Source organism: Homo sapiens, chromosome 9 (genome assembly GCF_000001405.40).
Source record: "Homo sapiens chromosome 9, GRCh38.p14 Primary Assembly".
Taxonomy (NCBI): domain Eukaryota; kingdom Metazoa; phylum Chordata; class Mammalia; order Primates; family Hominidae; genus Homo; species Homo sapiens.
The window spans coordinates 31168946-31183969 of NC_000009.12; the positions used below are offsets into that span (position 1 = coordinate 31168946).

At 31.8% G+C, this 15024-nt stretch overlaps 1 annotated feature.

The window, feature by feature from the left end:
* Positions 2514-2683: an enhancer, noted in NCBI's record as "experimental_107952 CRE fragment used in MPRA reporter constructs". NCBI's record gives its function as "activates a minimal promoter by MPRAs in K562 erythroleukemia cells, with activity observed for the non-introgressed 9:31171542 variant allele {active_cell/tissue: K562}" and the evidence as "EXISTENCE:reporter gene assay evidence [ECO:0000049][PMID:34662402]".

Sequence of the window (15024 nt, forward strand, 5' to 3'; positions counted from 1 at the left end):
AGACCTTCTGATGTTCCTTCTTAGAAAGTTGTTCACTATCCAAAGATTAATACTAAATATTTTATTTAATTTCTGTACAAACTTTGATAAAGTTTTTATTTGAAAATATTTTATATCAATACAGATCCAACTTAGTTCTTATGTTTCTAGTTTTCCCCTATATTATTTATTGAATAATCCGTATTTTCCTCTTTAACTTGAAATGCCAAACTAATTGCATATTAAATTAAATATTAAAGTAGGCTTCTTATTATCTTTCATTATTTGTTCTATATCACCATGCATCTACACCAGTATAAGATTTAATTAGATAATATGTGAAAATAGTCAGTTGCTCACTTGAATAGGTCTATTTATCTTTAAATATTCTTATTCAGAATCATTCTGAGTTTTATAATTAAGTTGTCTGCCAAATAGGATCATAATAAATTTTATAGTTACTACTTGGAGTAGTGAAATATTTTAATACTGAATTTTTTCTATTCAAAATCAAGGTATGACATTCTATACTGATATAATTTCTTTTATGCCTTTTTTAGGGAAATATAAACTTCTTATATAAAATTATATAAAATTGACCCAGAGGTGATTCATACTGATTAAAAATTATGACACTTCATTTTCATAATAGAAACTCATTTCAATTCTACATCCATAAAACTTTAAATTAATAGAAATTTCTATTATAACTATGATATTTTCTTCATAAGAAAGCCATTAATTTATTCGAATAATAATAATTCATATTACTTCTAACAATATTTTGATAGTTCACATGACTACTCCAGTTATTCTATCACTAACCATGAATAAATATTTATTTTTTAATGTGAAAAATTTATAACGTTCATTTCTCTAATCTGTGTTGACTGTAATATCCGGAACAATGCTACACAATAATAATGAGAGCAGTTTTATCTGCTGCTCAATAATGTTTGCACATGTATCAGATACTGTGCCACTTGCAGGTTATTGAATGATGAACATATGAGATGTGGCAGCATCATAAATGTTGCATAAATAACAATGTATAAATATATTTCAATAACATTTTATCAAAATACTGAATTTAATTAAATCTATTTTTGGCATCTGTTTAAATGATTATTTTTTACTTATGACCAAATAAACTGAAAAATATATACAGATTTCTAAATGTTAAACAATTCTTGAGTTATTGGTGCAAATTCTACTTGGTTATAGTAGGCTGTTAATTATTTTTCTGCTGTATTGTTTTTGCTGGTATTTTATGTAGAATTTTACTATTGATGTTCATAAATAATATTTGGCTATAATGTGGCACACTATGCTTTATTCCAGTTTTGAACATTTAGTAGTAATAGACTTGTTAATAACTTTGCTTTGTATTTCTCATAAAAACTTAATTCCTTTTTTAAAATCTGTTTGGTTTTCTTCAGTTTCATATGCTAATTGCCATACTCAGTACGTTTTTAGGCACTCAATAAAGGTTTGCTGCATATACTTGCAAATTTTGGGGTCCTTGCTTTGTCCGCTTTTAAAGTTATTTTCACTGTAAAATGCTAAGTGAATTAGGCTGCATATAGAAAATAGGATATTATGCAAACTTTACAAATCATGCATGAAAATGAAATTTAATAATATGATACAATTCTTATTTTACACACATAAATAAAAATTGAAAACTGCGTAGTGACAGAAATTTGATATAAACTATTCACAAGTTTTAGGCAAGTATATGTACTTGAAGAAAAATTAATCAACCAGAATATAATATGCACTATCTTTGAATTTGTCAATGATATCAATTTTATTTATAATATTGTCTATCACATATTGAATGTTCTATGTCAGGACATTTCTACCAGCAAAAATTCATAGTTCTCAATCTGAAAATTATTTATTTGAGATAAAATATCCTTTTTGTTATTTGATATAGTGCTTGATAGTAAATATGACTTTTTTTTTTTTTTTTTTTTTTTTTGAGACGGCGTCTCACTCTTTCTCCCAGGCTGGAGTGCAGTGGTGGGATCTCGGCTCACTGCAAGCTCCTCCTCCTTGGTTCACGCCATTCTCCTGCCTCAGCCTCCCGAGTAGCTGGGACTACAGGCGCCCGCCACCATGCCTGGCTAATTTTTTGTATTTTTAGTAGAGACGGGGTTTCACCGTGTTAGCCAGGATGGTCTTGATCTCACCTCGTGATCTGCCTGTGACTTTTTAATTAAACTCATCTGGCCAGAGATTATGGCATTAATAATTGCTAGTTGTCCTGTATATCAAGCCAAGCCTTATTCTAAGTACTACTTGTGAAATTTATCGTTTCACAACATTCTGACAACTCTGCAAAGGAAACATTTTAAAGGATAGTTTATTAAAAATTGGATTCATTCAGTTGATAAAATTATAAAGTCGTAACATTGAGACTTTATCCTGTGCCATGTAACTCCAAAATCCTTGTTTTATAGTACTAATCTCACTTTTCTTTATCCTTTTTTTGTAAAAGTAAAATGTTTTCCTTTATTTAGTATGAATTAAATATGGTCCTATGTATATACAATTTACTGTTACCTTTATGCTTCCAAAATTGATTATTTGAAAGGTATATTATTAATTGTTTTATTATTACTATTATTATTTCATTTGATAGAGTAGAAGGTGTAATAAGAATTAATAAGTAAAAATATTTTGTTACTGATGTACTATTACCACAACTGAAACACTGCAAATTTGACTTCTCTAGCAAAGGCAAATGTTTTCAGAATATAGAATGATGAGTGTTAAAATGGTTACTTGTGACTGTTCAGAGTTTAAACTGCAGCCCTTAAAATATAATCTGGATTTTTATGATTGCTTTTTTGTTATCCTTCCTGTCCCTTTCATAGTCTTTCATTAGTCAGCCCCAAAGGTGATTCATACTGATTAAAAATTATGACACTTCATTTTCATAATAGAAACTCATTTCAATTCTACATCCATAAAACTTTAAATTAATAGAAAAATTTTCAGTAAAAAGCATGTCATCAAAAAAAGAATGCTTAACATATCTGAGCTGACAGTCAAACCACAAACAAAGAAATTTCTAAGAGGCTCATATTCTGACCACAGATTCGTATGCTTTGAAATTCAGTTATATATTATATAGAAATACTGTTTTCTGATTTCTTCATGTCCTGAAGACCTTGGCTTGTACCCTCTTTCATTTACAAATGAGAAGAAATTGTCTTGAATTCTTCCCTGATAAGTATAGCAAATTTGAGAATGATTGGTCATCTGTGCAAGTCCCATTTTTACTCAGCTGTAAGTCCTAAAGGCTTGAAATCAGAGTCAGGTTCAGATCTATCACATCGTTACTAATGAAAACAAAATTTCTCTGAATTTGAGACCAAACTTCACTAATTCAAATATAAAATGCCTTGAATTTTCTAAGCTTTGCAACCAGTATATTAGGCTATTGCCTTTTATTGCTTGTATATGAAGCTGCAGCCTTCCTTTCTATGACATCCCAAGTCCCATTGTGTAGAGAAAATCAATGTTCATAGGCATTCTTAATTATTTTCTTTCCTTGGAAGGTAAACTTAGTGATGCTGTCTTTAAGAGGTTTAATAGCGTTGTACTAACACATAAGTTTGAGTGCAAGATGGCTTGCAGTAACAGTGTTGGTTTTGCTGTTTGTTTGTCTTTGGAAATTGAACATATATCCTCAATGGACAATTTCCCCATATATAAAATTAGTTTTTTCATCTAATAGTAAGATATTTGTGAAGATTAAATCAGTCACTAGGTTAAGATGCTTAGAGCAGTGCCTGACTCGTGGTAGTTCTTAATATATATGCAGTGGATTAAAAAAAATATGTACTCATATTATTTGATGATCCTTTGAAAATTAGGATAAATTAAAAGAGAGGAGTATCTAGTCAAATCATCATCAAACTGTTGAAATCAATAGACAAAAAGAGACTCTGGCAGACAGCAAGAAAAAAGTATTCATAACATACAGCAGATCCTCAATAAGATAAACAGCTGAATTATTTTCAGAAAACATGGAGGCCAAAATGGAGATGAATGACATATTAAAAAATGCTGAAATAAGAAGACCTTCAATGAAAAATTATGTTTCCAAAAGCTATTTTTCAAAATTAAAGGTAAATTAATATTCCCAAATAAACAAAACTGAGATATCACACTGCTGGCAAACAAGAATACTTTGGGAATAAACAATGCTGGCCAAAAAGAATACTTTGGGAATAAGCAAAAGGATAATAAGCAATAACTCAAATAAAGAAAGAAAAAAAGAAAGGAAGAAAGACCAGCAAAGGTAATTGCATATGTATATGTAAAAGACAACAGGAAAGCACTTCTACTTGTAACTCCTTTTCTTCTGATTCTAAGACAACTGCATTTGGTGATAATTATAAACCTGTGCTTATGGGTTTATTATGTACGCATAAATATGTAATTTCTTAGACAATAAATAAAGAACAGGAGAAAACAGCTATATTTGAACAAAAGCTGTTACACTATTGAAATTAAGTTGGTATTAATTTGAACTAGGATTTTAAATTGTTAATTATAATTCTCATGGATAACCATTAAGAATATAACTCAAAAATCTTGTGAAATAAATTCAGATTAAATATTTTTTTAACACATACAGAAATAAAGCACTAATGGAGGAAGAAGTTACCAGAAAAAGATACCAGATGTTAAGGAAGAAAATAGGCATATAAAATAAAAATCTTACCTAATCAGTAATTATACTAAATGTAATTGAATTAATCACTCCTATCGAAAGACAGAGATTTGCACAAGGATAAACATAGTATAGTTTTCAATAGTAGACAATTCATAGACATATAGATCACTAGGACAGAATTAAAAGCCCAGAATTGACATACATATTTATAGGTACTTGGTTTTTGACAAGGCTGCCAACAAAATATATTTTAGTAAGGTTACTTTTTCCTATCAATAGTGATAAAGCAATTGGATATTTATATGGGATAAAATACACAAACCCCAAGTCTACCTTACACCATATAGAAAAGTTAATTTGAGATTGAATAGAGATTTAAGCCTGTTAATATGATTAATGTTAAAGCTGAAACAATAAAACATTCTAGAATGTTTGTAAATACATTTATAAATACATTTAGAGGAACATCTATATGACTTTGCAGTACCAAAGTATTTTTACAATGGTAATGCACATAAAATAATACTCATACAAAAGAAATTTATAATGTACGTTAATTGAAGTGGAGATTATTTGTCAATCAGATTATTCATCAAATGAATAGGTGATTCTGAGAGAGAGAAGGTATTTTGGATACACGCATATGAAAATGATTTGTATTCAGAATATATAAAGAATACTAGAAATCAACTAAAAAGCTAAATAACACAATTTAAAAATGGGTCAAAGTTTTCTTCAAAGCACTTCACAGATGAGTTTAAATAATAAATCAGCATAGGTAGAAGGTGCAGCAAAGGATACACATGTGAAGCACGCAGACCTGGTTGAGCCTTGCAGACTGATCTGTGTATGAGCTCTGGCTAATAATTTTAGTTAAAATGGAAATTCTGGAAAAAAACTGACTGAAATTAACCCAAGCAAAATGTCTTTGCGTTTTTTATTTCATAGATTTCAACTTGTGTCCCATAGTGCTATTAGGCATACTACTAATGTTTTTTCCTCATTCTCCCCTCCATGCTCAGTCAGAGTGATGTCCTTGGAATTACCTTTTATCTTTTCTTCTATAAACAACTTAAACTTATCTTTTCTTCTATAAACAACATAAAGTTTTATTTCTAGAAAGCTTTCCTTGAATACAGTCTGATTTGGGCATACATCTATTCTGTTCCCATATGACTATGCACATTTCTTTATCATGACATTTATCTCACTATGAAATAAATATTCATGAACATTTCCATGTCTTCTATTAGATACAGAGTTGATTGAAGGAAACACCCGGCACCATATGGTCCTTTGTGGGTATGAAGTTAAAATGTTTGTGATTTTTTTTTGGAATGAATTTATGGTAATTAGGTAAAAATACAAATACTATGTATTTGATGGAATGGCTGATCAGTAAATAGATTTGTTATCTGTGCAGTGAGAAAATGAGCGTATTGACTAAGTTTAAAAGATAATGTAAGATCAACTTTAGTCTTATCACAGACAGTGATTAAATAGTAGACCTAAAAGTGTATATTTAGAGCAAAAAAATTGCTAATATTTAATCACCCACTATTTACCACATTGGGCTGTTTATCAATATTATAAAAGGAAGTTAATATTACTCAATATGAAATCTTATTTAATCAAAATATGTAAAGGTGGGCACAGAAATTAGGCTTTGTCAGCTCAAATGAACCACTAGCCACATAGTTCTTGTCTAAAGGTGGTATATAATTAACAACATAACATTCAGCACAAATCAATAAAAGATCATTCAGATTTCCTTATCATAACAATATAAGAAGTGGTGAGGTTTCTAACAGCATATTAGACAGTCTCCCTACCCTCAGTGTTTCTCTACCTCAGACCTCTGTGAACATTTCGACTGAATTAAAATCTATTTGTCAGGGAGCAGTTTTAGGAACACTTCAACCCCCCAAGAGAACCTTTTTTGTTGGTAATGTTGTTCCCTTAGAGAAAGTGTGTCTCTCTTTGAGCCTTACTTCCGAAGACCAATTACCTAAACAACATTACTATCCTATCTTTAAGCGCATCTTACCTTGAGCCTTTATGTAGACTGTGCAAATTTAATTATATACTAGATTCAATTATTTATATCCCTCACATAAACACTGTAAAATAGCTCTCCTGTTTATTTTTATTCATCTTTCTGCACAGTAAACTCCATTATAGTTATGGTTTGCTCTAAAGCCGTGTTTAATAGGACAATCAGGTCACCTCATATTCAGACATATGTAATCATCTTTTATGGGTGACTGGTCACAAATTTAATGAATTTACATGAATGTTGTGCATGGTTTCCTACAGAGAATGGTCATGCCCTCTCAATTGTCTAGAAGTACATCTAATTGTCATGCATTGCTACACATATGCTTTTTTTTTTTCATAAAAATCGATAATACCCTCTGTGGGATCTTGGATTTGAGTTTCAATATGTTTAGGCAATAATTGTCTGTGTAGTTGAATTATGCAAAGAAGTAAACAATTTCTGAATCAATCAACACCTAGATTGCTGGTCTAGTTGTTTATTGATTTTTGAGCCATTTTCCCTAAGTCAAAACAAAAATATTAAAAAATAATTGTTATTCTGATAATATTCCCAGGGCAAATTTACTCTCATGTCATTGTCTTACAAAAGTCAAATACGTTTGATAGATGTATCTCACTCTTGCTCGTTTTATAATTTTTCATGTTTCATATGCAGAAATCTACACATATCATACATATTTCATAAATGACACTCTATAACCTTTTGGGAAACACACACAATTAGGATGATATCTTCTAAAGGATACCTATTTTCCTGCTTTCATTTTGTGGCATGTAAGATAAATGGGATAGCACCTTGCACATCATGTGTGGCATCTACAATTCCACTATTAACCATATATATGACGCAAGTGCACAGAAATCTAAGGAACATTAAACATTTAATTTTCTAAAGTTATGTAGGACCTTCTTAAGTTATAGCAATGCTAAAAAATAAAGTATAATCACAGGTATAAATACACATATATGTATACATTTTAAAAGTAATCATCTCTAAACTCTTTCAACCCAGGTAACAATGTGAGTTTGGTGAACTCTGAGCATATTGTAAAGGAAGTCCGGTAAGAGATAAAAGATAGAAGCCCAGGAAACATTTAAAAAAAAAAAAAGCTGAGTTAAATACTAATTATTTCACTATTCAATGTCTATAACAATTTAATATGCTAACATCTATTGGAATTAACTGAACATAAAGAAAAGCATAAAGGAAGCAGAATTTTCCAAACCTGTTTGATTTGGGCACCTCATTTTCAAGGAACACTTCATTGAACCAATTTTTAATAAAACACATTTTAGGATATATTAGCTTTTATAAAGACGTGGTGAGCCAAAATTAGTATGTAGAATCAATTTCCAAAAATTACACAAATTAAGATGTGCTCAAATTTTAAAAATCAGCATTAAGTATTTTAGTATTGTATTACTAATGCTTTAAAAGAAATTTGAGATTGCCTAAATTGACTCCTTTATTATTTGTAGAGATGAGAAAAAAAGATGTTCAGAATGGTTATGTGGGTTCTTACAGCCATACATTTATTTAATGGCAGAAGTAGTTCTATGACCAAGTTTATTGGAGATGGCAAAGAATCAAAGCAACAGTTTGGCAATTTACAATGCAAAGTATGCCAAGCCCAGCTGATTGAGTGCAGGAGACCTATTTATGCAGAGAAAAATATAGAAAATAGAGTTAATGATTACAGTGAATAGGAGAGTGAGAGAAGGTAAGAGAGTTAAAGACATACATTTCACAGAAAAATTTTTATTTTTCTATGAGAGCCAAAGGACTTATATAATCCAAAATGAATGTTAAAGGTATGATAAACAGCAAAATGAAAGCAGACAAACCTAGGTAGAATCCAGGTTACTTTGACAAGTAAAATAAACTCACTGATTTCCATTTTTTTTTTGATAAAATATAACTATTATATCACGTAGTTATTATGATATAACTATTATATCACATAGATTAAATACAATAAGCCAAACCTTTGGCATATGACAGGTGGCTAATAATAAGTTGTTATTATAGGTATTGTATAGCATTTAGCACTAACAGACAATGAATATTTTCTGACTTTCATAAGAACATTTTTTGTTGTTGTTCAAACTTTTATTAAGGTAGATTTATTCTGGGTAGTTTAGCTTGTACATTCACTCAAACAAACTTCCCAAAAGACAACATTAAAAATGAAAACACATATTCTTAAAACTGTTACTACATACTCAGGGCCATGTTACAATAGTCAAGCAGGTATTTGTAATATAAATGCACTGTTTGAAAAAATATGGCTGGTCTATGGAAATCTACCCCTGTAACTGGCAGGGAATCTTGTAGTAAAGCAGGCCATTTATGGGAAAAAGAAAATAGTAGCTAAAGGTGTAAGATGGCTTTCCAAGCTCTGTCAACATGGCATTCTTTGCTGGATGTTCATATCATTATCTATATAATAGAAGGGATTTAGTGACAAAGTGAAGATGAGTAATTTTGTTAAAGCCAAAGTTGTTTCAGTGTTGTCTGCTATAAGTATTTTAATAATGATATTTAATTAAAAGTGGATCAACAAGCTATATGTAACTGCAGTAATATAGAAATTCAAAGGAAAGATAATGGTAATATGATTGACAATATCATATGGGCAAAAATCAAGGCTCTCAAGACCATCTGTTTACCTAGGTAGTTAGTATCTCAGAATTGTCTCTCCTGTAGATCTACTACACTCTCCTACTTCCTTTAATGTTTATTTTCTGTGAGGAAATTGATGTTGCACCCCTAGTTTTACCTTTTTCTTACTATTCCTTATAGACTTTTGCATTTAATAGGCAGAATTGGAAAAATTCAGAAAATAAAACTTGTTAAAATTGGAGGTAGATTAATTAGTAAACATCAGAGCATTCATTCTATTTAAAGTTTATTTCCTTTTATAAAGTTCCTCCAAAGGATACTGTTACTTTCCAATCCTTCCCATGGTCTACAAGAGTATGTCAAGCCAGCCCCCATAACATTCTCTTCCCTTTGCCTGTGTTTAACCATATTGTCCTTTTTTGGTGAGGTCCATTTCCTCATAAACAATTTCCCTGATACCAATAACACATCTATTCCCACTCTGTTGCCCACAGAATCCTATATTTATCTTTCATAAATGCATCACAGTATGTAATTGTGTTTGAGATTATTTGAATAATTATTTCATTTCACTAAAATAAAAGAGCTATAATGGTAGACAATGGCACAAAGTTGTCAATACATAGTTTTGAATAATCAATATTCCATAATTGTACAATAGATTGTCCAAACCTGTATTATTTCTTCAAAGATTATGGAACTTTTCTAATGCTGACAATGGTTTATAAAAATAAAAAAGTGATTTAATTCATTATTTTGAAAAATCTATAATTTTAGCCTAATTGTTCATAGTTTCATATTGCTTTGTCCTTTTGCCTTATCTACTTGGGGTCTTGGTTCCATTAAAACTGAGAAACAATTCCAGACTTATCCAAACTCATTTTGACACCAAGAAATGAAAAAAAAAAAAAAAAAAAAGATCATGGAAGGGCTTCTTCACGTACTAAGGATGTGACCTTTGGTTATATCAAAAAGAGTTTCACTTTATCTCAAGGTCTCCAAAGCTTGACAGCAATATTCTCTACCTGTCACTTATCTTTGTCTCTTAAATAAATTAAGTATTGCTGTGACTGCTGAGAACTGTCATCTTTTCTTCTTCATAAGCATATATAAGATAAAAAATTTTTAAAAACTAGTTTTGCTTTGACCTTCCTGGAGATGACATATGCGAATAGGACCTTGTGTGGAGGGGCACAGCATTCTCTTTGCTGGTGAGTTCATAATGGAATATTAATGTCCGCTCCCTTGTCTCACGTTAAACTACATTTTACTAACTGATTTTCTTAGTTTTACTAAAGTACCCTAAAGAGACAGAAAATATATTACCACATTAAAATATTGTTTATAGGATATTTTGTTTTTTATTTAAGCGTTTATAATAAATTGTGAAGCTTTCCTTCAGCATTGAAAAAGTAGTTCTGAAAATAAAACTATTTGGGAAGAAAGTAAAATCTAAGAAAAATCTTTTTATCAGTTTTCCGCAAGTACACACACACACACAGTTAGTTGTAATATATATACAAATACTTTCATATGTATGTTTTCATCGATTTGTAATACATAACAAAACATAATTTATATATAATACATAACATATATATGTATACACTCCCCAGCAATCTAATTAATCAAATATTAATGTGTGTATGTATATTATGCAGGGACACCTACTCAACAACAGTACACAGACCAATTCCCTTTGTGAAAAATTCAGAAACATATTAAGAGTCTTTTGCACACCCAGGGAGCACAAAATTGGCTGCATCAAAGCTGGTAAAAATTTTTGTGGCACTTACTTGTCATAGTTTCTCCCCACCAGCACAGTGCAGTGCCATTAGGAGAAGACTCCCAGCTTTTAACTTCTTCCTAGGAAGGCAAAGAGAAGACTAAAACATGTATTCAATATTCATACTTTTAGGGGGGCTGAAGAACTGATTTCTGCTGTCTTGTCTGAATTGAAGTGCTAACAGGAAAGAGTGCGAGCTTGGAGGCCATGAAGAAAAAGTACAGGTTGGGGGGAGGATTAGATTATCATGCATTCACTCACAATGGTCCCTTTCCGCTTAGCACAGCAAGATGATTAGGAGAAAAAACTCCCAACTCATGGTCTCTTCTTGAAAAGGAAAAGACAGAGAATGCTTCCAAAGTTTTGGGTTTTCAGAGGGTTGTCTGAGGGACAGGTATTTGTCTCTCCAGTCTTAGTATGGTAAGGGAACATGGCATATTCTAGGTTCCTTGGGACCACTAAGAACAAAAGAGATCTGGGTAGCTAACTGCTGCAGACACAATATGACTTGGTAACCTCTTGCTCAGAGCAAATTACAAATGAGAAAATGCTTTGAATAGACATTTCTCCAAAGAAGACATACAATTGGTCAACAGGAATATGAAAAGAGCTCAATGTCTATATCCTGAATGGTATTGCCTAGGTTTTCTTCTAGGGTTTTTATGGTTTTAGGTCTAAAATTTGTCTTTAATCCATCTTGAATTAATTTTTGTATAAGGTGTAAGGAAGGGATCCAGTTTCAGCTTTCTACATATGGCTAGCCAGTTTACCCAGCACGATTTATTAGGTAGGGAATCCTTTCCCCATTTCTTGTTTTTGTCAGATTTGTCAAAGATCAGACGGTTGTAGAGGTGTGGTATTATTTCTGAGGGCTCTGTTCTGTTCCATTGGTCTATATCTCTGTTTTGATACTAGCATGAGCAAGGACTTCATGTCTAAAACACCAAAAGCAATGGCAACAAAAGCCAAAATTGACAAATAGGATCTAATTAAACCAAAGAGCTTCTGCACAGCAAAAGAAACTACCATCAGAGTGAACAGGCAACCTACAGAATGGGAGAAAATTTTTTCAATCTACTCATCTGACAAAGGACTAATATCCAGAATCTACAAAGAACTCAAACAAATTTACAAGAAAAAAACCAACAACCCCATCAAAAAGTGGGCAAAGGATATGAACAGACACTCATCAAAAGAAGACATTTATGCAGCCAACAGACACATGAAAAAATGCTCATCATCACTGGCCATCAGAGAAATGCAAATCAAAATCACAATGAGATGCCATCTCACACCAGTTAGAATGGCGATCATTAAAAACTCAGGAAACAACTGGTGCTGGAGAGGATGTAGAGAAATAGGAACACTTTTACACTGTTGGTGGGAATGTAAACTAGTTCAACCATTGTGGAAGAGAGCATGGTGATTCCTCAAAGATCTAGAACTAGAAATACCATTTGACCCAGCCATCCCATTACTGGGTATATACCCAAAGGATTATAAATCATGCTGCTATAAAGACACATGCACACGTATGTTTATTGCAGCACTATTCACAATAGCAAAGACTTGGAACCAACCCAAATGTCCATCAATGATAGACTGGATTAAGAAAATGTGGCACATATACACCATGGAATACTATGCAGCCATAAAAAAGGATGAGTTCATGTCCTTTGTAGGGACATGGATGAAGCCAGAAACCATCATTCTCAGCAAACTATCACAAGGACAAAAAACCAAACACCGCATGTTCTCACTCATAGGTGGAAATTTAACAATGAGAACACTTGGACACAGGAAGGGGAACATCACACACCGGGGCCTGTCGTGGGGTGGGGGTGGGGGGAGGGATAGCATTAGGAGATATACCTAATGTAAATGAGGAGTTAATGGGTGCAGCACACCAACATGGCACATGTATACATATGTAACAAACCTGCACGTCGTGCACATGTACCCTAGAACTTAAAGTATAGTAGTAGAAAAAAAGAAAAGAGCTCAATGTCACTAATCATGAAGGAAATGCAAATCAAAACCTGAATGACATATTGTTTCACACTGTTAAGATGGATATCATCAAAATTGCAGTGAATAACCAGTGTTGGTGAGGATGTGGAGGAAAGGGGCCCTTGTGCACTGTTGGGAGGAATGTAAAAGGCTTTCACAAAAATGGAATATATTATGGAGGTTCCACAAAGAAATTAGATACTATAAGTACCATGTGAACCAGCAATCCCACTTCTAGGTATGTATCCATAAAAATAGAACCTTGAAGAGATATTTGCACTCCCATGTTTACTGTAACATTATTCACAAAAGCCAAGTGGTGACAGCAACCTAAATGTCCATGGGCAGATGAATGGATAAAAAAATGTATGGTACATGCACATAATGAAATATTATTGGGTTTTAAATAAGAAGGAAATCCTGTCATGTACTAGAATGTGAATGGAACTTAGGGACACCATGCTAGGTGAAATAAGCCAGTTATAGAAGGATTCCACTTACATTAGGAACTATATTTGTCAAACTCGTAGATGCAGAAAGTAGAATGGTGGTGGTCGGGGCTGGGGTAGGAGAAAATAGAGTTGCTGTTCAAAAGACAGAGTTTTAGACTAGCATGAAAATGTTCTAGAGATTTTCTATACAGTATCATATATTTATAATTTGTAATCTTGGACATATATTTTACAATATTGCACTAGACACTTAAAAACTAGAGCATTGATTTTTTGTTATGTATTTTCTGTTGCAATAAAAAATGCGTTAATCTTTTCGTAAGAAAATATTAAGCCTGTGAACCATGTTTTTACCATGATGTTCTTTTACATCCAGATTTTTCAGCTAGTGAATAAAGGCCCAGGGTTTCAAATCAGCCCTAACTTTCAAACCTGTGCAGTTCTTATTATACAATGATACAAAACTACTGTGATTCCATTACATTTTTATAAATATAGTAAGCCACCAAACATGTATTTCCTTGTTTTGTCACTAGTTATGTGAACTTGAAAACATCATGCATCTGCTCTGTTCCTCAATGACCACATGTGTAAATGAAGATCATATTATTTATCTCATGAGGTTATTGTTAGTAGTAAATGAGATAGCACGTAAAGGCCATATAATGTATTCAACTATCAAGCATTGAATATGATTATAACTTTCACCTTTGTCAAATATGTGAAACCTACAAATGTTTAAAATTATTAATTTAAACTTTCACTTATACGACCCATGGAGGGAATTGAATCAAATATATGCTAATGGAAAGACTGACATATCTTTTTATTTAGGAGTTTTGAGCTGTGAAGAATTTCACACTAAGTAATGTGAAAGAAATTTCATCACTTAAAAATATAAGCTGATAGATTAGTCACCTGTTCCTAGAGGCAATACTTATATTTGCTTTCCAAGCTGTCCATTAATTGGGTTTTATCAGAACTAGTTCCTGGCATTGAGATTACCTAGATAGATAATGTAGAAGATGTTCTTAATGCATGAAATTCAAAGGACTATAAATAGAATCTGAGCAGGCACATCTCCAGACGTGCCTTGGTAAATAAATACACTGGTGGTTTATCCAGCATATTTGACAACCAGTCTAAATAATTTTTTAAACTTCCTCTTCTTTATATGAAAAAAAATTAACAATTTTGTAATAATAATAATCATTATCTCATAGATTATTTAAAAACAAAATATATTTCATTTAAAATTTACTACTTAAATTTAATAAAATATTTTATGTATGTTTTCTGATGGAAACCCTAAGAGACAGGATAAACTACCCCCCAATATTTGGTCTGAATGTCAAGACTAATGATGCCATATAAGCACCAAGATTATATGGCAAAGTTTATTAGTCACATAATTATATTTTCC